The sequence below is a fragment of the Homo sapiens genome, chromosome 2 (genome assembly GCF_000001405.40).
Source record: "Homo sapiens chromosome 2, GRCh38.p14 Primary Assembly".
In the NCBI taxonomy this organism is placed as follows: domain Eukaryota; kingdom Metazoa; phylum Chordata; class Mammalia; order Primates; family Hominidae; genus Homo; species Homo sapiens.
Genome location: NC_000002.12, coordinates 102670075 through 102697812, shown reverse-complemented (window position 1 = coordinate 102697812; position 27738 = coordinate 102670075). Strand labels below are relative to the sequence as shown.

At 40.5% G+C, this 27738-nt stretch overlaps 1 protein-coding gene across 2 annotated transcripts in view; it reads right to left on the bottom strand.

The window, feature by feature from the left end:
- Positions 1 to 27738, bottom strand: part of SLC9A2 (solute carrier family 9 member A2) — a 91803-nt gene that overhangs the window by 13543 nt on the left and 50522 nt on the right. For both annotated transcript variants that reach the window (NM_003048.6, XM_047445572.1), the window contains 4 exons: positions 14335 to 14552; positions 13477 to 13679; positions 3310 to 3399; positions 2700 to 2770 (listed from right to left, as the gene is read on the bottom strand). In NM_003048.6, coding sequence (NP_003039.2) covers positions 2700 to 2770; positions 3310 to 3399; positions 13477 to 13679; positions 14335 to 14552 — 582 coding nt within the window. The remainder of the gene's footprint in view (positions 1 to 2699; positions 2771 to 3309; positions 3400 to 13476; positions 13680 to 14334; positions 14553 to 27738) is intronic.

Here is a 27738-nt window from a genome sequence, read left to right as displayed (position 1 = left end):
CACCCAACATGCCTGAAACAATCGCTTCTTTTTGATGCTGATTTTTAGTAACATTAACAATCACCAAGGATGTGATCTCAGCAGAACACAGTTTTAAGAAGTCTTGTGTCAGCACCACATCCCCCCGCACCCACTTCCCTGCTCTACCTGTGATATACAGCATCTATGATGTCTATGACACTGTATATCATAGGTAGAGCAGGGAAGTAGGTGCGGGGGGATGTGGTGCTGAAACTTTGAAATTTTCCTGGAAAAAAAGTTGTGCGTGGAAATATATCAATACTTACAAAATTATTAAAATAAGTGTATCCACTGCAGTGGCAAATGCTAGCCATGTAACATTACCTTTCAGGCATGGAGCAAGGTTGGCTCTCCCATCTTTAGGACTTACAGCCAATTAATCTGGCAGCCTTTGGATGTGTGCTTAGGGCAGATTCATGGACTCCAGAGATAATGTCTCTGCCTGAAAGACAGACGTAGCCAGACTTTCTCTGACATTTCTTCTCCTGAGTTCCAGGCCAAACCCAAGTGACCACAGCATCTACCTCTTCTGACAGTGCCCCAGGACCAGGTGGCCTCATTACTGTGTGAGGCCGATCTATATTCCCCCATTTGGGAGGCAGAGGAGCACTAGATATCTTGAACCTAACACTCACTTTGGAAGGGGAACCAGCTGTTCTGGGTTACGCCTCTCATATGTCATTTCAGAAAAGTACTGAGGGGATGCTAGGGAAAGGGAGGATAGTAGTTGAGTTGAAAGGAACAAGGTAGGCAGAAAATAGGCATTACTATGAAAACAGTGGAGAAGAGAGGCAAAAAGTTCTGTTCTACTGGCTTAGCACAGATGGGGACTCCCTCATGCTAGGAATGTCCCAGAGTCATAGGGTAGATGTATAGGATCTCTGGTCTACCACCTGCCTCCAGAAAAGGGAATACTTCCCCTGAGAAATGGCCATTTAAAAAATAGTTTTACAATGGAGAATATAATTTGCTTAATTTTATTACCTTGTGTTCCCATGTAGCTAATTGGGCGTGCTCTCCATACAAACAAAATCTTTTTCCTTTCATTATATGGTAAGGCTGAGTCCCAGGGCCCTGTCTACAGTAGTAAACAGTGTTGTAAAGCTTGTAAAGGTTGTTCTAGCACTGAATGTCTTTGTCACTCATTATATTCCCTAATGGTCTCTCTCTCACACACCCATATATACACACACACAGGAGTCTGCTTGCTGTGTGACGGTTTTGTTGTGTCTGTGATACTACAGAATTTCAGAGGCCTGAGTCTATGGCTTATACTTCTTATGTAGCCCAATATTATGCCAGCATATATGAGCAAACAGGAAACACTAAAAAATTCCCTTGTGTTAAGTTGCAGACATTGGTAGGTTGGTCAATTTCATGTAAATTAGCAGTGGAGGGAAAAAAAATTCTGTTAGCAAGTTAGGAAAAATAAAACAAGAGGGATCTACCAAATATAGTTTAAAACGTGTTCTTCTGTCTTCAGGGATTAGCTTAAATGCTGCCTTCCAAAGTCTCGCCTAGCCAGTGATATGCTAATAAATGTTTAACAAATTTCTCTATGAAAAAAAAGGGCCTTGATTTGTAGCATTTGTCAGTTCCATGATATAAGCCCTGATTCAAGCAACCACTCTGGACAGTGCCAAATGTGCAGTCAGGAAGAGAGGTACGTGATGAGCTCCCACTAGCAAGTGGGGGCTGGCTCCTGTACCCCACTGCTCCTAGCTCTGCTGTCAGAATTGAACCAAATTTCTTGACCCATAATGCTGTTTCTCAGTTTATATTAAAGCATACATCTAATTCTGCCTGTCTGGTCTACCTTTTCCACTTCAACTTTAAGATCCTTGAAGACCAGTATTGAATTGTATTTATCCAACACAGAGCCTTTTACAGAATGGTAAACTCTGTGTGCCTGTAGGTATGTGCATTTATATAAATGTATGTAATTTTTCAGATAATTTTAGCTTTTTATATATATATTATATATATATATAATATATATATAATATATATATAATATATATTATATATATATACACGTTATTTCTGCTCATCTGTTTACATCCTTAGATGGTCTGAATCTCTGCATTTGACAAAGTCTCCCACCATGTGTGGCAAAATGGATAGTAATGGAAGCCCTAGTTTTCAGCCAAATAGATTGCATTCCTCAGCCTGCTTTGCAGACAGGAATGGCCATAGGACTGAGTCCAAGCCAATGATCAGAAGAATCATATGGCAGCTTCTGATGGTTTCAGTTAGAAGGCAGCTATTAATAACACATATGCTTTGTCTACTCATCATCTTTCATCCTTCTTGCTGCCTCTAATGGCTAATATTGATGCAGCCATTGTGGTTCAAGAGGCAACCTTGGAAATGAAGGCTACTCTTAGTGGATCGACTAGACAGACAGTCCTCGGACCCTGGGGGAGTCTTGGAGTAAACCTCATCTGTTAAACCTAAATTGCCTATCTCTGGCTATTTACAGAAGAGGGAAATAAGCTTTTACCTTGTTTAAGCTACTATTATTCCACATCTCTGTTATAGCTGAACTTTATCTTAGAGGACATACTATGGTACAACACAGGAAAGATTTCCAATTAAAAAATAATACAAATCAGTAAGTCCTGCTTTCAGAATGACCCTGGGCCACTTCATAACCCAATGGCATAAGACCTTCTTACTTGTCTCTCCAAAAGTTGTGACCCCAATGTCCACAAACATCTTCAATTCCAGTCTTCACATGATCAAACAACTAAAACAGAAAAAGCAGGCAAATTGATTAGTCTTTACCTGAAATCAATAATTTTCACTCTACTTGTATCATTTCTAAACTCCAAAGACCTTCATGGCTTTTGCTTCTTATTTGTTTATTATTTATTACCAAAAGCAATAAAACAGTTCATTTTCAAACAAACTGATGAAGTGTTTGTCACATCAGTATTAGGTAAGTCTTCGATTATTTTGCTCACCTATAAGTTTGTTAATAATTTTGAAAAGTATGAAATATGGTAATAATTTCCCAGTAGGAACATTTCCAGGCTAAAGGAAGTAAGAAGAGGGGACTTCTTGTCTCTCTACTCATGCAGGAGTTTAGTAAGCTAACCTGGAGAAGTTACCGTGGGGCCATATCTATTCTATACTCCCCCAGCAAATACCTTCTTCAGGCCCTCCTCCCTCTCACCCTGCCATTCCCTTCTTCTTCAGGAAATGGACAACGTGGTACCAAGCTGTTTGACTGATTCAAATATTTTTCCTTTATCATTAAAATTATTACACTCTCTTAACACCTACCCGACAATAGATTTCTTCACTGACAGCTTGTTGTTTCTTATTGGACCTCTTGACATCAAGAAACTCCACCAGTGGTCGAATAGTTATTCCCTGAACAGGAAACACAATTTAAGCATTTCATATATATTTATACAATTTATAAATTGTTTAATATAAAAATTTTAATATAAATTTTTTATAAACTACATTTTAATATTCAAGGGTAACTTCTCCTAAGCTTTGATAAGTAATGACAAAAGATATTTGGCTACCAAGATTTAACACAGTAAATGTAACTTTTTGTTAATTTTTCTTTCTTTTCAAATAGCTGGCATATTTTAAAAGGACCATGTCCTAACAAAAACAAAGACAAAATGGAAGAAGCAGAGAAAGTAATTACACAAAATAATAAAGTAGGCCAGATGCAGTGGGTTATGTCTGTAATCCCAGCACTTTGGGAGGCCGAGGTGGACAGATCACTTGGGGCCAGGAGTTCAAGATCAGCCTGGGCAACATAGTGAAACACCCTCTCTATCAAAATAATAATAATAGTAATAATAATAAAGTATTATCCAGTTCAGAGGAATCACCTACTTGTTGTATTATCCATAGAAAACTTATCAATGACTCCTTCATTTGTTCATTTATTAAAACGATTTTCACTGAGTTTCTACTGCACACATATCAGGGTCTTGGGCATTTGGAACCCAATGGTGAATAGTTAAGGACCTGGGTTCTAGGACTTTGCAGTCTTATACAAAGTCAGATACTTCCGAAAACAGTTACAAAGTAAGCAGAAGAGGGATGACAGGGCTAGCACAGGAAGCAGGTCAAGGAAAGCTTGGAGCAGAGGAGACACTGGTGGGCAGTGGTGGAGATGCTGGAAGCATATCCCAGTGGAGACCACAGCACAGCAAAGCACCGCAGTGAGAGGGGGCTTGCGGCCAGTCTGGGCACGTTCATGAGTGAACTCCGGAAATGTGGAGAACTATCAGCTCTTCAGTAAACTAGGAGGAGAAAAATTCCTTAATGTGACAAAGACATATGCCAGAAATCAATAGTGAACATATCACTTAAAAATGAAACATTATAAGCATTTCTATTAGAGCCAGAAATAACACAAGGATGCTCTGTCTGTCTCTGTTCAGCTCTCTGCCTCTCTTCAGCACAGTTCTGCATGTCCCAGTCAACTGAGAAGAATAGACAGATGAAGAGCTAGATGTATAAGTACTGAAAATGAAGTGACAAAGTTTCTGTTGCTCCTGGATGATTGAGTTTTTGTCCTAAAAAACCTGAAATAATATCTTTTCATTTAAAAATAACAAGAAAATTTGGTACAGTAACTAACACAAATTCAAAATGCCCAATCCATCCCAGATGTTAATTTTTAAATGAAACAGAATAAACACCTACAATAGCAATGAAAAAAACATATAAAAAGAGTGTGTGTGTGTATATATATATATATAAAATACTAGTATATACTAGTATCTAATAAGTATATGCTAGTATCTAATAACATGTTATATAATACACTAGTATTCTATATAGATACTAAATATGCATAGATATACTATCCATTATCTCTATATATGTATAAAACCCTATCATAAATGCATAAAACCTTTACAAGGAGAACTACACAATTTAACTGAAGAAGATTAAGGACATTTTGAGATATCAGGAAAAACACAATTCCTAGACAGGATAACAATATTGTAATGACAGTTTTCTCTCAACTAACATGTATCGACAACACAATTCCAGTGACATATTCCTGAAGACTTTTAACATAACTTGAGAGGCTGATTTTAAATCAACCTGGAAAAGTAAATGTAACCAGAAGATTTTAGAAAAAGGAGACTGAAAGGGAACTTACAGACATGAAAATGAACTGTCAGTAAATATACTTAAAGTAATGCATTACTGGCACAAAATAGGGCAGGTAAGGAGGGGGTGAGAGTCAAGATTCCCAAGTTTCTTGCTTGGTGGGCAGATGGCCACTACTTCCTGGCCTGCAGGAAGGATACATGGATAGGAAGGGTAGTTAGGATTTCAGGGACAGAGGGTAGCTATATAGGGGGATATTCCCTGCCATGCATTTGACTTTCATCTCATCTTTCCTCATGTCTTTCAGACTTTAAGAATGTTTTTGATAATGCAAACTGACTGAGACACACATACACATCCATTTTTTTAAAGGAGGTGATTGGCTTTTTTCCATCAGTCTAGCTCTGGGCATTTTTCAGCTTAACTTTCATTTTAACTTTCTGAAGTGTGAACTGATTTTGACCAAATTTGGTATAAAACACATCTTGTGTTCTATTTGTATTTCAGTCTGCTACTTTGAGATAACACAAAAGGTAATAGCAGTTTTCCAATCAACACATGTTCTGTAATTTCTAACTTATGTAAATGAAACGGGTGTAAACATGTGGTTCGCAGAGATGGGAGAATTCACTAAGTTCCAGATTCCATGAAGCCAGTAGTTTAATAATAGCTCAAGAAAAAGTTGACAAAATCAATGTAAATTTTAAAACTCTATAATGTGTTCTAAAGACACAAGCTGCTGTTTCACGTGCTCTTTTCCTATCAGTGTTCATTTAGTAAGTAATAGGTGAGTCACGAGTCTTTGTAAATACAGGACATAAAGATAGGACACAGGGCTTACCCCAGTCCATATGTTGATTCCTTCCACCCTACAGATGATCTAGAAGTGAATGCGCTACCATAAATAAATCACAACTCATCAACTCCAGGAAGCAAGTGTGGCCTACCACCCCATCAACTCAAGTTTTTGAAAGCATAATATATTTATGTTTATAATCATAAAGCTTATAGCAATATGTTTTTGTATATACAGTCCCTTTTAATCGTCGCCCTTTTTATCTTTGAATTGCCTGCAATAGTCATATCATGCTCAATAAGAATTATTTGATGAAAGCTGCCTTACTTATTCTCCCTCCCTTCTTACTTTCCTTCCTTCTTCAATCCATCTATTTTGCAGGCAGAGTATATGACATCTGTGTATGCCATATTAAGCCCCCAACATTGGATGTTATATTCTAGGAGCCTGGGTGTCTGGTTGGGAGGGAGAAAGAAACAACAAAGACCAAGAAAGCACCTTATTTTAACCACATTAGAAAATTTCTAATTTAGATCACCCAGGGAGTAACCCGATAAGGCTTAGAAAAATCAAAGAGCTTGCTACCATCCATACAGAATAAAAAAAATACAACCCTTAGTTTTTCATCAAACTACCAGTAGAAATATTTGCAAATACAAGTTAAATTTTCACCAGTTCATTCACTTTGGCATACATACTAAACACCACCTCTGAGGGTCAGGCCTGCCTGGGAGAATCATGTAACAGCAGGGGCAGGGAGAGGAACGGGGAGAATTATTGGTTTTGCATCTTGTTCCATCTCTGCTTTCCTCCCACCTGGCATCCCCCAGCTCCCATTTATATCAGAGGGGAAAACAAACAAACAAAAATTATACAACTGCGATGTGAGTGTCATGAGCATTCTTTTCATCTTTTTTTTTTTTTTTTTTTGAAGAAAATGAGTTCTTGTTTTGTGTTGCTTTTTGGAATTAATATTTGCAAAATAAAAAGGATGTGGGAGAGAGAAACTTATATTTCCTTGCTGATTATCAGGTAATTTCCAGAAAAACTTATAGAAACGATTTTCATGTATTAAAAAATATCACTATCGCTGCTATGCTGTCTTATGGAAGGTCTTTCTCACATCACACACTTGGTCACAGAGATCATAAATGCAGTTGTGCAAACAGTGTTTATCTTAGAATGGGATAGGTGGAGTGAGAAGCATTAAAGCATTGCAGTAGCTGTTCACAGTCCCCATCTGTGTGTCTCTCTTTTAGCACTTTCCATGCTGCACACTGATTTCCCCTTCTATGTCTGTCCGTCTCTCCCCTATACTCCAGCTTTCTCTTTGCTGATCAGGGTTTCCCCCTCTCCTGTACCATCAGTCTCCAAACGTGCTCCCATCTTCGAAAATCAGAAACAAAAACCATCCTGTGACAGATATCCACCTCTGGCCACCACCTCCTTTCTCTAAGAAACCTAAGAGAGTTGCCCATATCTCCTGCCCCTCATTTCTCTGTTCCCCTCCCCTCTCGAATCCAGCCAGTTGGGGTTTTGTTCTCCTCACTGACCCAAAGTGCTCTTGTGCAGAGGCCACTCATCACGGCGTCACTACATCCAAGACTGCACTCTCCACTCACACTTTTTCTGACCTTGCAGCTGTATTTGTCACAGTTGCTAGAGGCCTCTTCTCTCCTTCCTGTGTAACCCCTTCTGATGTTTCGCCTCCTTTAGTGTTCACCCTTTCCGGCCTCCTGGGCTGATTCCTCAACCTTTTCTTGATTTCTAAATATTGCTATGTTTCAGGGTTCAGTTGTCAGATGCCTTCTTTTCTGTATTCTTTCTATGTTTATACCCTCAATAATTCCAGACTTATGTGTGTTAAAAACCATATATTGAGGAATCCCAAATTTACATCTCCCACTCTGGCTTCTCCCCCAAATTCCAGACTCATATATATGTGTGTATATATACATATATATATAACTGCCTATCCAACATCTCCACTTAGATGTCTAATAGGCAAATATATATGTCCAAAATGGACACATCCAAAACTGAGCACATGATGTCCCATCCTTCAAACCTAATACTCTCCAGGTAGTCCCCACCAAATTAAATGTCACCTTCATTCCCCTGGCTGCGCAGTCAAAAACACATGGAACTGTCTTATACTGCTCTTCTTCTCATATCCTAAACTTTTCACCTACATTGTTCCATCTTAAAAAAGCCTGATCATCTTGCTCGTTTTATTGTAGGATTGTTGTAAAGTATTCTAAATTCTATGGAACCCCACCTAATAATGGCATATGTTAATGAAATATAAAGATGGTGTCCTTTTTAAACAGTACATATATAAAAATATGACCATTTATTTGACAAATGAAGGCACATTTGAGGGTCTTCACAAGGTCTATAAAATAGTGAGCATCATCATTCCAGTTGGAGAGGCTAAATCAGCAAAGATTCATGTAATTGCTGGGAGAGGCTACCCCACCATGGGCCCTAAGCACCCCAACATGTTCTTGCAGGGGATGCCAAGAATGTCAGGCCTTGATGACTTTTTTACCTGGAGCATTTCTTAGGGTTGCAAGCAATGAGCACTCTTGAGAAATGAAGTAAGGTCACCCTTCTGAGAGAGCAATATATCCCCAAACTCAAATATATCCCCCTCCTGCAATACAGCCCATGACATGGGCAGACATCCATCGCGGGTCCCTTGTGTCACCCCCATGGGACAAGGAGGTGTGGAAAACTGACACAAACCAACACAAGGCTGTGGCTACAGCTCTTGTCATGGACAATAAAGTCCTTTGTCTCTGACTCAGGAGTCTTCTGTAGCATTCATGAAATAGTAACAGGCGAACTTGTTAGCTTACAAGTATAATAAAACCCCAGATGCTTCGCAGTTCTGCACCGTGACTTAACCTAAGTTACATCACTAATGTGCAAAAGAGGCTGCTATCTCTTGAATTTTGGTTAACTTTCCCACTTGATGGACTTCTAGATAACCACTTAGTACGTTTACAGAATTCTTGAGATCTGCCCCTTTTTATTATAGGGATTAACTACATAATAATTATTGTATTCTAATCATTTTTCCTTCCAAAGAAAAATATATTGAAAGAACTTACCTTTTTCTTTCTTTCGTTACAAGTTTTCTTTCTTTTTTTGTTTGTTTGTTTGTTTTGAGACAGAGTCTTGCTCTGTCGCCAGGCTGGAGTGCAGTGGCAAAATCTCGGCTCACTGCAACCTCTGACTCCCTGGTTCAAGCGATTCTCCTGCCTCAGCCTCCCGAGTAGCTGGGATTATAGGCACGTGCCACCATGCCCAGCTAATTTTTGTAGTTTTAGTAGAGACAGGGTTTCACCATGTTGGCCAGAATGGTCTTGATCTCCTGACCTCGTGATCCACCCGCCTTGGCCTCCCAAAGTGCTGGAATTACAGGCGTGAGCCACTGCACATGGCCTCGTTATAATTTTTCTTAATGTAGTATATTAAACATGGCAACTCGTGAGGCAAAAACCCTGTGTCAGGTGTCATACTCTATACACATATTTCCCCTGAGCTGCCTGGAGCATTGTCTAGATTTTACAGCTAAGTAAACTGAGGCCCACAGAGGCTGCAAAAAGCAGGCTTAGAGTATCAACCCACAATAGTCTTACTCTAAAACTGCACTTTATGTAACTGTATTTCACCCTCCCCAATTTTGAATATAATTTACATGTATGAGAAATAGCTTATATTTGATATAAATAACATTACCAATCATATTGGAAAAAAATGAACTCAAATGTCCAAGGAATCAGAATTGTTTCCTCATTCAATATTCCACGGCCGGGCATGGTGGTGCTCGCGCTTGTAATCCCAGCTCTTTGGGAGGCCAAGGTGGGTGCATTACTTGAGGCCAGGAATTCAAGACCAGCCTGGCGAACACAGCGAAACCGCATCTCTACTAAAAATATAAAAATTAGCTGGGCGTGATGGTGGATTTCTGTAATCCCAGCTACTCAGGGAGGCTGAGGCAGGAGAATCGCTGGAACCTAGGAGGCAGAGGTTGCAGTGAGCCAAGATCGTGCCACTGCACTCCAGCCTAGGTGACAGAGTGACACTCTGTCTCAAAAAAAAAAAAATTCCCCAAACAGCACCATATTCTGACAACATGATAGTGTGCCTCATAAAGGGACTACATCGCTTGCTAAGAAGCAACACGATTCAAACAATGTGAAAATTCTCATGATAAACTATGATATCAAATAATGCATCATACATCATGTGAAATCCTATTTTTGAAGATAGTTATAACTCAGTAGTACCAGGTTGGAAGAGCTTATCATATAAAATATTGAAATAAGGGGAGAAAAACATATTTAAAGTTTAGTAATTGGTCCATCAACATAAAAGTCATCGTTTGAAAAAGAATACATAATTCTTACTTGAAAGGCAATATTTTATGCATGGATGTATAATTAGTTATTCCTGCTATATTTATATCTCATCAAGTATTTCCCTCCAGGCTTCCTTCACTGAATTCCTTAATTATTGATGTATTCTGGAAAAGATATCTTTTCTGAAGGGAGTATGTGTGTATTTGTGTGTGTGGGTGCATGCACGCTTGTGCACGTGTGTGTGTTCAGAGTATCTTAAGAACCAGTGGTAGGTAGGAGAATAGGAGGAAGAGGAAGTGGTCAGAGTCATGGAACCAAGCAATATGCACGCAGTCTCCGATCTGTGCACACAGAAGGGTAGGCAGAGAAAAGGAAAAAGAAGATATCAACACAAGTGGAACCGCAGCAATTTCTCTTCTCTGTGGATATCCAAGTGAACTTGGCCAGACTCTCGTTTAACCTAATAAGAGGAAAGACTGCCATCTCTACACCTGCGGGCTCTAAACAATGATCCCCAGATGTCTCCCTCAGTGGAGGATTAGCTTGATGTGTTCACAATACCAAATTCGGCTAATACATCTCAACTGTGCTGTTTGTTGCTTCAGGCTTTCTCCTTTTCTATCATGGCCTTTAACCACCTTCATCTCTCTCCTCCCATCTATCCTCCTCCTGTCCTCTTTATACTCAGGGAAAGCCATGCTCCTACATCACTGAGAACAGGTGATCCACCTCACATGAACTTCCCCACTTCCAGCCTCCCCTGTCCTCACAAGCTCTCTGACATTCCACACAACACAAGAGTTAGCAGTCATCCTTCGACTGATCCTCTGCCCTGCTTTGGCTCACTTCTCACATAAAGTCTCATTGAAGAGTCTTCCAAAATAAAGAGGGCTGCATCTGCTTTTTCTCAGCTCTGCCACTACTTCCCAAGGGCAAGTCATCACCATTTCTGGCCCATATTACTGCGCGAAAGCAGAAAGGTGTTGATAATAAAGACAGTAACAGAAGGTGGTCATCTTAACTCAGGAAAGGGTCTTCTTCAGGATTCCAGAGAACTCAGTGTCCTCAGTGTTGGAAGGCATGAATGAATGAAGGATGAACTGTCTTTTGAAGAAATGACTAGAAGGAAGGAGGAAAATCGTGATGCATTACAATACTGAGCACTCGCTACACACCAGGCTCTCTCCTGGACACCTTATTCAGGGTCAAAAGCAAATAGATTTTGACTCTGCTTTACATTTTAGTATCTGTGCAAATTTGGTAAACTTACTTAGCCTCAGTTTCAGTGCCCCACTTTCCTCTTCCACAAAATAGGGATAATAAACCATGATTCCTAGAGTTATGTGCCATGGAATTGTTATGAGGGTTAAATGAATTAACATGTAAGATGCTCAGATTTGCATCAGGTACCTAGAAAGCATTCTGTGACTAACTTTTAAATAAATATGAATAAATTTTTAAAACACACGCACATCTCCTGATCTTCCTCCTTTTTTACCGATCGCTCATTCTTAGTTCTTCTTGGCTGCTCCCTTCTTCCCACGATATCTTAAGGTGGGGCCGCCCCAAGGCTCAATCCTTACTCCTCTATTGCAGCCTCTTCAATGTATATTTTCACTCCCTTCACAATCATATCCAGCTCATGGCTTCAAATACCAATTCTCTGCTAGTGGCCAGAGAGCCTCTTTCCTGAGCTCCAGACTCATAATATCTGCCTCATCCGTATCTCCACTGTAGGTCTAATGGACACCCCTAATGCAGCATGCCCGTCATTGAACTGACAGTCTCCCCACCCCCACCTCTGCCATGCACAGACTTCCCCTTCTCACTTGAGGGCAAGTCCATCCTTCTAGCTGCTCAGGCCAAAACCCCTGGAGTCATGAGTGATGCCTCTTTCCCTCACAACATGTCTAATCCATCAGGGAATCCCATAGGTTGCTCCATCAGAATGTATTCTAGGATCTTACCACTTCTCACCAACTGAACTTCCACCAGTTTTGTCCTCCCTAATGACTGCAGGGCTTCCATGCTGGATTCCAACATTCACCCTTTCCTCGCAACAGTCTATTCTCAACACAGTGGCCAGTATGATCCTTTTACAAAGGACGTGAGAACATATCAGGGATCTGCATGACACTCTCTAATGGCTTCCATTTCACTTGAAGAAGCGCCAAGCTTCATACACTGGGCTGCATGGCCCTGCATGATGTAGGACTCCAGACCCTGCTTCGCCTCATTCTCCTACACTCCACACCACACTCTGTGCCACTCCAGCCACACTGGCCAAGAGCACACTGCCTTCAGAACACACTTGATCCCTCAGCCCATTTGCCTGGGATGTTCTTGGGCTTAGCTAATTCCTCCACCTCCTGCATGTCTTTGCTCAAATCTCATTTTTCTCGCTGTTCCCTTTCATGACCATTTGATGTTGGAATTGTAACATTTCCCCCACGACTTTACCCTTACCATGCTTGACTCCTTACTCTATCCTTATTGCATAACATTTTCCACCTTCTAACATGCTCTATGATTTACTTGTGTTTCTTGTTTAGTGCTACCAACCCCTCTGAAATGTAAGCTCTGCAGCAGGGACAGGGATCTTTTTATGTTCTGGCTCCTAGAGCACTGCCTGGCACTTAGCAGGAGTCCAGGAAATATTTGATAAATGAATATCTGCAAAATATAATCTTCTAAGAGTTGGCATCTTAACTTAAAGATATTGATTAACTTGCAAAGTAGGGATCTGGACACAGGTCCACCACATTTTCTGCCTCCCAATATTAAACGTGCATTCATCCATTCCTCATTTAGGGGAGTCACCGCGAGGCAGTCAACTCATGTCAAATAGCTGTTGGAAGGTCATATGCACAACTAGCATTTAACAAGTGCATTCACTAAGTCAGAAAAATAATAAGCATTAGCAAGTGCAGTTCCTGTTTCCAGTCATAAGATTAGAGCGCTTAGTTTAGTTTCCTTAAATAATAATTTCTCTGTGTAGGCCAAGTGACCAAATTGGACTCTCTGAGGCCCCTCAACAATCTAGTGACATGAACCCAGACAGGAAATATCATTTTCCCTAGTAATTAACTACCAAAGTTTCAACACACCTTTGCTACTTTGCATCCTGTAAACAGAATCCAATATTCTGAACGATATTTTTTACCCTCCTGGTAAAGGGATCACTCTACTTACCAGAATGAAGACAGTAAAGAATATGACAACAATGGCAGCCGTAATAAACAATTTTTTCCGAGGAAACACAGCAGCAGGAAGGAGAAACACTAACGCAAAACAGATGGCACCTCGAAGTCCTCCATAGGCAATGATGAACTGGTCCTTAAAGGTCAGGGGAATGGTCCGGAACCTATTAATGACCTGAGTCAGGACAAAAACACCTGCAAAGAAAGAAAACCCAAGAGGAAACAGACTGGGTGAGGCCAAAATATGAAAATACATAGACTCATTTTCTGTGCTTCTGCGATGGGGACAAAGGATTTAAGAATAGGCCCCAAAGTCTTTCCCCTTTTTCTCTGTCTTGCTAGTAATACCAGGTTCTGGGCCTTTGATGTTGTTTCAGGATTGTGGGTGAAAATGTGAAATCAGAGAAGACAAGACAAACTAATCTGACTTATAACAAAGCCATGAAGATACTCAGAGAAGAAAAGAATATATCAGGAAGGGGCGGGAAGAGCAAGAGACAGAGAAGATGAAGAGGGCGATGAGGAAGGAAAGGGGAAGAGGAAGAGGCAGAGGAAGGTGAGAAGGAAGAGGAGGAGAAAGAGAAACAGGAGGATGGAGGATGAGGAAGAAGATAATAGGGAAGAGGAGGAAGGAAATGAGAAAGGATAAGAAAAGGAGGAAGAGGAGGATATAGGAGAGAAAAAAGTAAAGGAGGAAGAGGAAGAAGAGGAGGAAGACGTAGGTAAGAAAGAAGAAGAAATTAAGCAGACATAAAAGAATCCACAACAGCAGAAAGGGAATGACAAAAGGAAAGCCCCATTCAATTAGTGAGTGTTACATATGTCCAGTTAGCAAACAAGCACTCATTACCCAGGGCTCGCCACATGAGGCAGAAGGCCAGGGTGAAGCAGACGAAGGCCCAGTTCCACTCGTGGTTCTTGCCCACGGTAGACACACCCATGAAGATGAAGATCAAGGTTTCGCTGACACTGCTCAGCATCTTCATGAAGTACTTGATGGTCGTGTAGGATTTCTGAGATACATTTTCTTCTACGTACTTATTCATAGTCATTGCACAAGCAGTGATTCTGAAAGGGAAGATTCAGCTTCTATTGAAACCTAACAATGATCTTAATCAGAATGCAAGAGATAGCACTTAAGAGCTAAATTATGGCTCTACTCTTCTGCCCAAGACTACAACATCATCGAATGATTTTTATAGGTGAATGTGATTTGCATGCAAACCTCGGAAATCCTGCAATCTCCGGAGGTCTTCTTTAGCAACCCTGGCTGAACTACCCGGCTCTGCCCAGCATTCTGGTCCCTCAATTCCCTTACCCCAGATTCACACTTAAAGGTCTATGGACGTCGACACCATCAGCTCTCCTTTCTGTATCTCAAATAAAACAAGTCCAAAATAAATTTGAAACTCATTATCTTTCTGTAAACTGATTTATTTTCCCACATATGCCCTGTTCCTCTATTATCTAAAAGGATTCTATTGTATAAAATCCTAAACTTGAAAATGGGCTTGCATTAGACTTCTCTCCCTGTCACATCTTAGTAGCCCCCCTGCCATATAATTGGTCAACAACTGTTTTCGATTCTTCATCCTGAATATCTCTTAGACCCACTCACTTCTTTTTATCCTTAGTTCTGAGTCTCATATCTATGTATCTATTGTATCCACTTCTGGGAAATTCAAAAGGTTTTAACAGGTTCTGAGAATTCCTAAAGCAAAGAAACTCTTTGGCTTATTCTTCCAAGTATTTCCAAAACTTTGGGACCACAGAGTCCTTTATTCCCACTCTCATGATATCTACTGGAATATGGCACCTGGAGAAAAGGAAGGGCTCCAGGGTCAAGTCCACACTCCTGAAGCTCTTCACACACTTCCCTCAGTGGAGAATTCCAGTTTCACATCTGCCCTCTCTCCACCCCGGCACACACCATGTGCCTCCGCTGTATGGAATTGCCCAACCTGAACTTGTTCTTTACTGTCTTCTTGCCTTACTACACACATGGGTTCCTCTCTGTCTAGGATGCTACACCTCATCAACTCAGATGCCACCCACAGAGGAGAATTTAGGATGAGCTTGGTGACAGCTCATGGTAGGTCCGGTCTAAGGAGACACGGTTACTATGAAGTATCAAAAGAATTTCATTACGAAGGTCCTGTAGAATGAAACAGGAGGATGGGATTAGAGGGAGCCACCCTGCCTTCCACTCAGTGGTAACCATGCCATAAGCTGAATACTGGTCATGATCTGCAAAGTTTCCAGCATTCTCGTAACTCCACCAGTACAGTGACCCTAGCTTAGCTCCCTCTACTCCCATCATGTGGTCCTCCTCACTCGGAGAAGACTTCTGCTGTCTTAAGGAAATCCTCTTACTGTGAGCATCAGAATAGGTAGAAGAATGCAAACCTAAGCATCCTCTAAAACCTAAACAGGTCACCACGAACACGTCTCATTGCAAGTAACATATCTGTTGTTCACATAGAAAACAAAGGCAGGTATGTTTATTTTTGTGCCCCTTATTAAAACAAAATGAAGACTTCATCAATCTAAGGACCACACACTGAGCTACCATGTCACTGTCCCCAGAATAAGTGGGTATTTCTTTTAGATTTCTATAAGTGAAGAATGCATAATTTATTGGTTTCCCAAAAGAAGGAATGGCCTTATTAAATGTGCTAATAAAATTCAACAGCTATAAACACATGGCAAAGCCTTTGAATAGTTGAGGACTCATATAAAAACAGTCAATCTTCACAGCACCTTTACTTTGTGCCAGGCATGAATGGATTATGTCAGTTAAACCTTATAACAAGTTTATGAGCAAGTTCTATTATCATTCCTATGCTTATAAATGGGAGAACAAAGGCAGACAGAGGTTCAATTATGTAAGATTCCAGTGCTAATAAATGGTGGTGCCAGGGTATGAATCTGGGCAGTTTGATTTAAAGACAGTACTGGGCCGGGCATGGTGGCTCACACCTGTCATCCCAGCAGTTTGGGAGGCCAAGGCAGGAGGATTGCTTGGGCCCAGGCGTTTAAGTCCAGCTATGCAAAATGAGACCTCATCTCTACAAAAACAAAGCCAGCACTGTGGAAGACTTAATCCTCACCCTTTCCAAGTTCTTAATGAGCCCTACGATCTCTGATGGGAAGGAGGTCTTCCCTGCCCACCAAGCTGTGGCTTATCCTTTCTCAAGCACAAGCCTGTTTGTATCCATCTCCTATGGCTGCTGTAAGAAATAACCACAAACTGAGTGGCTTCAAACAATGCAGATTTCCATCTTGCACTTCCAGAGGTCAGAAGTCCAAAATCACATTAGTGGGCTAACATCAAGGTGGTGACAAAGCTTTTTCCTTCTGGAGGCTCTAGGGGAGAATCTGTCCCCTGCCTTCTCTAGTTTCTAGAGGCCCCCCTGCATTCCTTGGCTCGTGCCACGTCCCTCTGACCTCTGCTTCCCTAATCACATCTTCTCTGAGTCTGACTCTCCTACGCCCTCTCATAAGGGCTCTTATGATTATATCAAGGCCACCCAGATATTCTAATGGAATCTCCCCATCTCAGGATTTTCACCTAATCACATCCACAAAGTCTCTTTGGCCATAGAAGGTAACATATTAGCAGGTTCCAGGGATTAGGATGTGGACATCTTTGGGGACATCTTTGAGGCCATTTTTCAACCCTTTCAGGTTGCATTCTCCTCCCCTAAACTGTATCCTGAACCAAGTGCATGGCCCGGATGAGCATGGCCTCTGCTGCTTGCATGCAGTTGGGTGACAGAAGCTAGCAGGAGCTCTGTCACACTGACTTGACGTGAAATCCTGGAACCTCCTCCAGCAGGCAATAGGAACTGGGAGAACAGCCTGGAAAGTGGCATCTGTCTCAGTAAGCCAATATCGGGCATCTCGCCAGCACTCCCCCAGATATAAATCACTGGTTACCCGCATTTCTGAAAATCTTCATCTTTCATATTTTGGCTTAATTTTTGTTTAACTAGACTTTAAAAAGTAAGATTTCTCCAATACAAAGTATCAAGGGCAATAGATTAGATTAAGAATCTGAATTATAACATGTTTTATATATATAAAAAAAGACATGTATACAGAAACACACACTAATAAGCCTTTCAAAAATGTTGCTTTTTTAGGTACTTCATGTAGTGGAAAAAAAAATGTTGCCAAGTAGAAAATTTGTAATAAAACTAATTTATAATGGACATATATTTTTTAATTCTCTAATCCTATACAAAAGATACTTCAAAAGGGTTTTATTATAAAGCACTTTAACTTATAGACAAATATGGAAAGACATGAACACCAAAGTACCCACTACCCAGCCTTCTCCAGTCACTTGTATTTGTTAAAACAAAATGTCATCTATAGAGTGGAAACATCAGCAATAAAGTTGACTTCTCATATTCACCCCATTCCCTTCTCTCCCTCTTGAGTTGATTTTTTTGAATCATTCAAAAATGTAACTTTAAAAGGTTGATGAATAGTGTTTCTCTAAATGTTCTAAACATTTCCCTCTGAAATTATGTTCATATCATTCACTGGGAAAAAAGTAAACCATACAGGCAAAAAGTAATCTCCAGTTTATTACATGAGCAATTTAACAATTTCTATTTAGAAACAATTAAAATATAGCTTTGGTGGCTGGGCGCAGTGGCTCACGCCTGTAGTCCCAACACTTTGGGAGGCCGAGGTGGGCGGATCACGAGGTGGGGAGATCAAGACCATCCTGGCTAACATGGTGAAACCCTGTCTACTAAAAATAAAAAAATTAGCTGGGTGTGGTGGCGGACACCTGTAGTCCCAGCTACTTGGGAGGCTGAGGCAGAAGAATGGCGTGAACCCGGGAGGCAGAGCTTGCAGTGAGCTGAGATCGCGCCACTGCACTCCAGCCTGGGCAACCGAGCAAGACTCCATCTCAAAAAAAAAAAAAATTATATATATATATAGCTTTGGTGTAGGAATAAAACATGAATTAATTTAACATGAATGTCCATGGGATCATTTTCCATTGCTTTGTATCCTTAACACGATACCAAGAGTGATGCTTACAGTAGCCAGACACCTTGCTGTAACTCAGTGAAGTTTCCTACCAGCCTCAGTGAGACACTGAACAGGAAGAAAGAACGCCCTGGGTGGGTACCACAGACCCTAGTATCTGGTAGTGTCCTGTTCAGGGAGTGTGTGCATGTCTGTGGCACTGAGGCACCTGAGGGGCTGGAGGAAACATTCCTAAAGTTCCCATTCTGGTCTGCCATGTACAACCTGAGTCACCTGGCCTCTCAAGCAAAGGTCCGGGGCTGTTTTTACTGCAAAGAGATTTTTTTGTTGCAGTGTACTCTGACCTGAAGTCAAACCACCTCACCTTCAAAAATATCAGAAGTAAACACACTACAAATGAGCTAGTCTCCCTTCCACTAGAGAGGTACAGGCAAAACAGCCTCTTAGGGATAGAAAGAATGAAACCATCTCTGCCCACTCCGCCAGGTCATCTTCTAGAGCTGATAGTCATCACCATCACAGTATATACATATGAGTCTCCATTTCTCTAAAAGAATCACAAGAAACTTACAGAGCTGGCAAATGATGCAAGATAGTACCGGACTGTCCTTGGCCTTACTGAAGTATATGGCCAGGAGAGTCCTTGGGTACAATGTCACGTCACAGCATTATCACAGTGCCACCACACTATCAAGAGATAAGATTTCTTCCTCCATCACATGAACACATGAGGATTTCATGACCGGAGTCCACAGCCTCACGTCCTCATTCTGTGTCATCAGTATGACATTGTCCCCAACAAAATAATAACCTAAATAGATTCTTTATATTATAGAAAATTCTGGTTAAGTTTCTTAATTCTAAAGCTTCAAAATAAAACTATTGGCCTTCAATATTCCTAGTACATCCTTACTTTTATTAGCTCATGTCATTGAATTATCCTTCCCCCCCCTTTTCATGCATGTCTCTCTCTCTCTGTTTTTTTTTTTTAATTTTCCATACCTAGTTAATGTGATTGTGAAGTGCAATTTAACATCAACCAACATTTTCTGAGCACCCATTCTGAGGCAAATTCTGTGCTGGGATCTAGGAAGATGAAAGCAAGTAAGACCCAATTTCTGCCTTCAAGAGTTCTTCTAAGGGAAGAAACAGACACAAAGAGATCATCGGAACACAACACTGTACGTGCTAGAATGAGGGAAGGGAAGATACTATAGAAGTGCAGGAAAGCAAAGGGTGACTTATGCCACAAAAGAGGACATTTGAGCAACACCTTCATGGATAAGCTCACCTATCAGGAAAAAGAGGAAGTGAGTAATTCAGGGAAAAGCAGCAGCCATATGCAAAGGCATAAAAGAAATAAACAGGGTGGTGCATTCAGGAATCTGCCAAATGATTCTGTTAGCTGGAGGAGGGGAAGATGAAAATGTTAAGAGATGAGGAAGGATGAAAGAAGTTAGGGCTCAATGACACTGTTATACTTAATGCTTAGGAGTTTTAACTTTATAGGCTGGAGAGAAAAATGAGAAATTATAATTTCAATCACATAATTAATGTCTATCTCCCCAACCAAACTGGATGCTCCATGAGGAAAAAGAAAAGTGTTGCCAATGCTTAGCATAGTGTCTGGCATGTATTTTGCATCATTGACTACATGGATGAGTCATTAATAGGAATGGTGGTGCAATATGAATATATTTTCTCTATATCCATTGCCCATTTCGCATTCCAAAGCATGCCCAGATTTTGATAGGTCTTAGGCTCCATTCTGTAGGACAGAGTGGAGATGAGGCATGCACAAAATTCGCAGATGCAGCCTGCTATGTTATTATCTTGCCCCACTTTAACATAAATGTGTGGTGATTATCACCAATTTAGAGACAGAGAAGGGAGAGCACTATAATTAGTGGTTTTCACTTACACCAGCAACTGAGGTTTTCTTTATCAGTATATCAATCAAAATACAGTGTAGGACAATTCAGGCCAGCTATAGACACTACCTCAAAAGAGTTTTTTTTTTCCCCCTGGGGAGGGTGGGTGGAAATAGACTTTCCTTTCTACTTAAATGATTTGTCATTTGACTATTTTCTGAATAGAAAATTCTAACAGATACTTTTTCCTCTGTATTACTCCATGACTCCATTATTAACCTGCTTTCTATAGATATTTATTTCTTTTCTACCAGAATGTGTGCTTTGAGACTATGGACTAATGCTTAGCATGGTCTGTGCCTATAGTGGTACCAAGTACAAGTTCAATTAATGCTTGTTAAGTCTAGTTTAATGAAGATCCAGAGTGCTTTATCTACAATCTGAACTGTGTAGAATTAACCAATTAAGCAAAATTCTTTTGCTCCCATTCCATATGATTTTAAAAAGTATGAATTCAATTGCAGGAAAGTATCACCCAAATAATATTTGTATATTCTCAATTAAGGCTTTGCCAAATATGAAAGCATATTCCACTAATCAGTGCCAAGCATATGCAATGATGAAGACCAATTAAAAAGCTTTTTCTGTATTGATTAAAGCCAGGTCTTGTGGTGACTCTGGGCACGTTGCATGCTCTCAGAATAAGTACTCACTCAAGTGAAGTAAATTAAATTATTCCAGGGCATGAATGTACTATACAGTGAATTGCTTCTTCCAGAAAACCTGACAACCAAGAGAAACAGAGTTTGACATATGAGAAAATGCAAACAACAATTGTTTTTTAAAACAGGATCCAAGCATAAAAACTGAACAATCTTTTTTAAAATATCAAAAATGAAATAAAGTACATTGAAACTGTCAAAAATCCTGGATTAATCATGAAGACTTGTCCATTGCATAAATTCTCTGCAACTTTTTTCTCCTGTATAACTGCTTTCAATTCAATTCAACTAATGTTTATAGATCACTTATTGGCACCTAAAGCAACTCTGGTTACGTGGAGAGAGAACACCAAAGGATCACAACTCAATGTCAACAGCATCATGAAGCACAGGCATCAAGTGTCCCATGGAGTGTCCCCATTCTAGCTGGGGAGTGTTAAGAAAAGCCTCAGAGAGGCAGGAAGATTTGACCAACACTTTGATGATGGAATGAAGGTTTTCCAGGTGGAAGACTCCTGGTCTATGTGGGCTACAGGTGGGGCCTGGGTATGTGAAACCTGCATGCAACAATCCTGCACCAGACACATACACAGAATACTTTGTGGTTCTACATGAGTCCTAGAAACATCAGCATGAGTTGCTGCTTTCTGGAAGTTCTTACAGCTACTAGCATGTATATTAGAGCAGTATGGTCTGTGGACCACGTGTAAATGTTGCAAAACTACAAATGCCTGTGCCCCATCCAAGGCCTATATCAGAACCTCTGGCTGAGGCCTGGGATTCTGTCCATGTAATGACATTTCCAGGTGATTCCTAAACACATTAACATTTAAGAACAGGAAATGGGAGTATAGGCAGAGGCTTGCAAAGAGGAAGGAGAAATGAGAAAAAAGCTGAAATTTGAGTCATTTTATTTAAAATTGTATTGGAGGGTGAGCATAAGGGTTAACATGGGATTTGAGGAGTAATGTGGATTTAACTACATTTGCCAACTATTCTTCCTTCCTGTCTCTCAATTTTTATGACTTGGATCTAGGTGCAGGTCTCTGTGTTCTCTTGCCTAGACTAGTTAGTGTGCAGGCATCTTCACACATTTTTTTTCCTGTCTGAGTCTCTACCTAGGCACCTTATCCCTGCTGACAGCGGCATTTCCTGATCCTCCTCCTTAATCAAGGATTCCTCAGCCCTAGGACAGCCAGTCAGACTGGAGCCGTGACCTACAGCTTTCACCCAGAGTACCATGAAAACTTTATCAGTTGTAAGTGTCATGGTGTAAAAAAGTTCTGGAAGCACTCTGATTATGTATTTATCATAAAACAGAAATACAATTGTGTCACTTCTCCTTAAAGATTCCAAAGGCTCCCACCTGCCTATAGCACACAACAGGTCTGGCAAGACCAGGGACCCCTCCTTCTCACCAACCTAGAGTTCAGTTCACCTTGGAGCCTTCAATTACACCTCTGCCTCTACCCAGAATGTCCCTCTTCTCATCACTGAGGCTTCAACCCAAGCATCATCAACATTCCCATCCCAGTTTACTTTACTATAAAGGATTGAGCTTTCCTTGCTAACTTGCAGTCAACACAGATTAGGATGGTCGTCTCACTCAAAGTTAGTTTAAGTTCGCTGCCTTCTTCTGGCAACAAACCCTACTTCTCATGTCACAGGGCGGGTCATGTGACACAGTCTGATCCCATGACAGTTCTCCAAACCCCAGGGCCAATCACAGTGCTTCCTCTGAAATGTTTTCTAACAGGACCTGGCAGGGTAGATCTCACTTTACTCTTCAGTGACAGAGTTGCAGAGATATAAAGCTCGATTTCTCTGTGACCCTGGTTTCATGCTTTGGAGATGGCTAACCAACTAGAAGGAAGCCTTCTCATGAAGGGACACAAAGTTGAGAGAGAGAAATGCTTAGGCAGACATAGGAGTCCCTTGTCCTATCACCCTAAGGCTAAATCCCACCTGTCCTCTCAAAAATGTATTTATTCGCATGAGCCAGGAAATCCCTCCTTTCTGACTTAACCTGGTTTGAGTTTGGCTTCCTTCATTAACACAGAGCTTCTCTCTACTGTTTCAGCTGGGCTCCTGACTACAAAGATGCCTGGTGACTCAAGTTATGTCAAATAACGGGGGATTAACTGTGAGGACACAAGTGGAAAGACAGAATCAGGGCCACTTGGCCAGGTCCCCTGGGAATACTGACAAAGTCAGACCTCATGTTTGATTGAGGTGAGGGAAATGGCAGCAGCAGGAGTGAGTACATAAGAGAAATGCTACAGCATCAAGAGGAGCTGCAGGCAGACTCTCCTCACCCCAGAAGCCAACACAGGAGGGCCTGGGGTTCATACCAGGCCATTGTCCTCCCCTGTCCAGAGAATTGCTGAGAAGTAAACTGAGGTTTGTTCAAGCAAGGATAAAGAATAACGGGTTCTCCTTGGGACACGTATCATGTCAAGGAAGGGCCAAGCTTGACCTCCGTAGCTGTATTCCTAGCTCTAACCTCCTCACGAAGGGGCTGAAACACTGACTTAATCCATGTGTCGAAGCGTGTCATCCTCAGAACTACTAGCTGGGTGGTAAGTGTACATTTCATTTCAGTTTTTCTAAAAATATTTTTATTAAAAAAGAAAAAGTGGCCAGGTGTGGTGGCTCATGCCTGTAATCCCAGCACTTTGGGAAGCCAGGGCAGGTGGATCACCCAAGGTCAGGAGTTCGAGACCAGCCTGACCAACATGGCAAAACCCCATCTCTACTAAAAATACAAAAAATTAGCCGGGCGTGGTGGCGGGCACCTGTAGTCCCAGCTGCTCGGGCAGCTGAGGCAGGAGAATGGGCATGGACCCAGGAGGCGGAGCTTGCAGTGAGCCAAGATCACGCCACTATACTCCAGCCTGGGCGACAGAGTGAGACTCGGTCTCAAAAAAAAAAAAAAAAGTATTTATTTCTCAGCAATTATACATTTCTGACTTATTATCTTGTTTTATATTTTGGCCTACACATTACCAGAAAGTAGTGTTATTTCCTACAATATTCTTGAAATATAGGCCAGAAAGGATATCATCCTTTTTAAAAAATAAGCATAAAGAACAGTCAAGAAACAGTCCAAAAAGCAAAGTGATGGCAGCATTTTCAGTTACACAAAAATACCCACTCTTCAGGTAGATTTGGAAGAATCAGTTCTTAATTCAGGAGCGAATTGTTAAAGTTTTATGTAATTTAAAGTTAACAAGGAAATATCAAGTTTTTTCTTGTCTAAAAGATTCCCAATATACCTCTAAAATCTACCATTATCTGCACTGAAGGAGAAAAGCAATGGTATGATTCATCTTAATAACAAAAAAAGCAATATCAATATCCTATCTTTTTAGCTAAATATTCTAAGAATGCAGTGAATTGATTTTCATAAGCCAGTCAAGTACAGCATTTATTGGATTTATTATGCGTTGTACCAATTTTTCCTAGAAAATGAGCTTTTCTGCTTGTGTTTCACTTAAACTTATATTATTATTCATTGAGTACCCAGTATATTAATTATTTCTTTAGTACCCTGACCACTTGATAAATACCAGAAGACACTAAGACACAGGTGACAAGTTGAGGGAAGACTGACTAGCTTCATAATGTATTCCTGATAATCTTCAAGAATGGAATACATAATCCTACTTAGGATGAGTTTTGTGTATTTGATTTTTTTTTGCCTCCATCAGAAATCAATATCTTTTGGCATTAGCTAGAATAAAGACCTATAGACCTTAATATAGAGGCTCGATTGATCTTCAGTCAGTCTGCAGAGTAAATACAGATAAAAACAGAGATGAAAATAGTGCCTTTAATGTTGTTTTACCTCTAAGAAGATGAGGCAAGAAAATATAATGTTTTGAATACTGACTATTGTATAAGTTTACAAATTCAATTTGCAAAATATATATATATATTATCTCAACCCAGGGAATCTGTTTTAAAGTACGCTGCTCATTCCTGCAGCAGCCACAACTTTCCCTCCCACTTTAGATTTTGAGGATATTTATATAAAACCCCCGAATGTGGACCTAGGGAAACATTTTTCATTTTCACAAGGTGGCTTTAGTTTGACATCTTAATTATCACAAGCCACTTCAGAAGAACCTCCAACTTCCCTTCAGTCTCTCCTTCCTTATTTTCTTTCTAAACTTCCCCATTCTCAAAGAAATGGTCTTTATAAAGAGCACAATTATCATCAGAGCGGGGAGAGCATTTCTCTTTTATTCCTCCCATCTTTTCATGACTTATTTTTTTTTACCTTATCAAAAGGAGTAAAACATATGTCACCAAGTCTTCAAATATCCAAGTAGAAAACACTAGTGGTGAGCACTACAGAACAACAGTGTCTAATAGGAATCATCAGAGCTGTATGTGTAATCTGCAGTTTCCTACTATTCACAGTGAAAAACACGAAAAGAAACTGAAGATAATTTTCAGAGCATATTTATGTAACTCAACATGTCTAATACATTGTCATTTCAACATCAAATCAGTATAGAAATTACTAATGAGATATTCTAGAATCCTTTTCCTACTCAGTCTTAAAAATCTGCTATATATTTTTAAATTTATTTTTATTATTATTATTTTTTTGAGACGGAGTCTTGCTTTGTCTCCCAGGCTGGAGTGCAGTGGCTCAATCTCGGCTCACTGCAACCTCCGCCTCCCGGGTTCAAGCAATTCTCCTACCTCAGCCTCCCAAGTAGCAGCTGGGATTACAGCCATCCACCATCATGCCTGGCTAATTTTTGTATTTTTAGTAGAGATGGGATTTCGCCATGTTTTCCAGGCTGGTCTCAAACTCCTGACCTCAAGTTATCCACCTGCCTCAGCCTCCCAGAGTGCTGGGATTGCAAGCGTGAGCCACCACACTCAGCCTCTGCTGTGTATTTTAAACTTACAATACAACTCAATTCTACTTTCAAGTGCTCAGAAGCCACATGAGGCTGGTGGTCACCCTATTGGACAGGACCTAGGAAAGAAGTGACAACCTACTATTTTTGTTCCTCCTTCAAAGAACCAAGCAAATGCTGGGGTCCATCTATTGAATCTACTAAATTAAACGGTTTAAACCATAAAAATAAATACAGATAATTTCATAAATTGTTTACATTTCTCTAGGTTAAGGTTTATAATTTCCAATTCCTTTCTGTCTTTACTAGTCTTACCCTACAGTTCAGGCAAAGTTATACAATAGAAAAGAAAAGATAATCACAAGCTTTTTGTTGCTTTCTTTGTTTTTCCTTTTTCCTGAATATGTCCAAGAAATTAAGGGGTATATGCTTTGTTTTTGTATCACTTAATTTCTCGCATCATTTTACTACCTTTCCCCCTCCCACCCCAGGCTTATTTATGTTTGGGGTGGTCATACCAGATTTTAAAGTGGTCAGTCTTGGCCAGTCAGAGCTATCAGTGAAAGCATACACTATAATTAAAAGTAAAACTATTATTTGTCAAGGCAATGTAACGTACAATGACCCAGTGAGAAGAGAAGAAACAAGGAGCCAGAGATCTAAGACTCTAGTCTTGATTCCCCGCTTCCTTCTCTGTAAACTCTCTTCCTGCTCTTCTTTACACTTCAGGACGTTGAGATGAGGGTCAGTTGGCATCCTGTGTTTGAAAGCATTTTATAAACATGATGCGTCATATAATGTTTTATGAATGTCCTACAATGTCTTGTGTTTATTATTTTTATTCTTTGTGAACGCAAGTAAACATGTTGAACTGGTTATTCTGGCATGTAGGGCTATGGTTTAACACTCTTGGATGTTGAAGAGATGTTCTCCTAAACGCTACAAAGTGTGGGTAAACCAAAAGGAACTAGGATAGGCAAAAAAAAAAAAAAAAAAAAAGCATGCCTTCCTATTTTTTTCTCAAAGTGTTAAACAGATGACAATTATCAGCTCCTACAAAGAAAAACAGGAAGAAGAGAGCAGATGATCTTCGCACCTTCACCAGTGACGACTTCAGTCCAGCAAGCTGGAACTACTCCTGGATTTCATTCCTAAACCTATCATTCTGGAAATTCCCGTTACAAATTTCCTCATTTACAAATTTGCATCGGGATGTGCTGGGGTTGTTTTTTTTTTTTTTTTTTTTTTTGGTGGGGGGAGGGGATATTGCACATAAACAGGACTGGCCTGGTAACTGGGGACACAGGGTCAGGTCTCATTCTCCACTGAGTCATCTGACAGCCATGTTTTGTCCATCTGGGCCTCGATTTATTTATTCATAAGAATGAAACTAATCACCATTTTCTACTTTCTTTGCAATAATGCTGCTAGAATAATTAACAATAAATAGAAAATACTTAGACAGTACCCTTGAGGAAAGAAATACTAAGGAATTATTAATCCATCAAAGCAGAACTAAAAAATACTGGGCACGGCCGGGCGTGGTGGCTCCTGCCTGTAATCCCAGCACTTTGGGAGGCCGAGGTGGGCGGATCACGAGGTCAGGAGATCGAGACCATCCTGGCTAACACGGTGAAATCCCATCTCTACTAAAAATACAAAAAAAAAAATAGCTGGGTAGTCCCAGCTACTCGGGAGGCTAAGGCAGGAGAATGGCGTGAACCTGGGAGGTGAGCTTGCAGTGAGCAGAGATCGCGCCACTGCATTCCAGCCT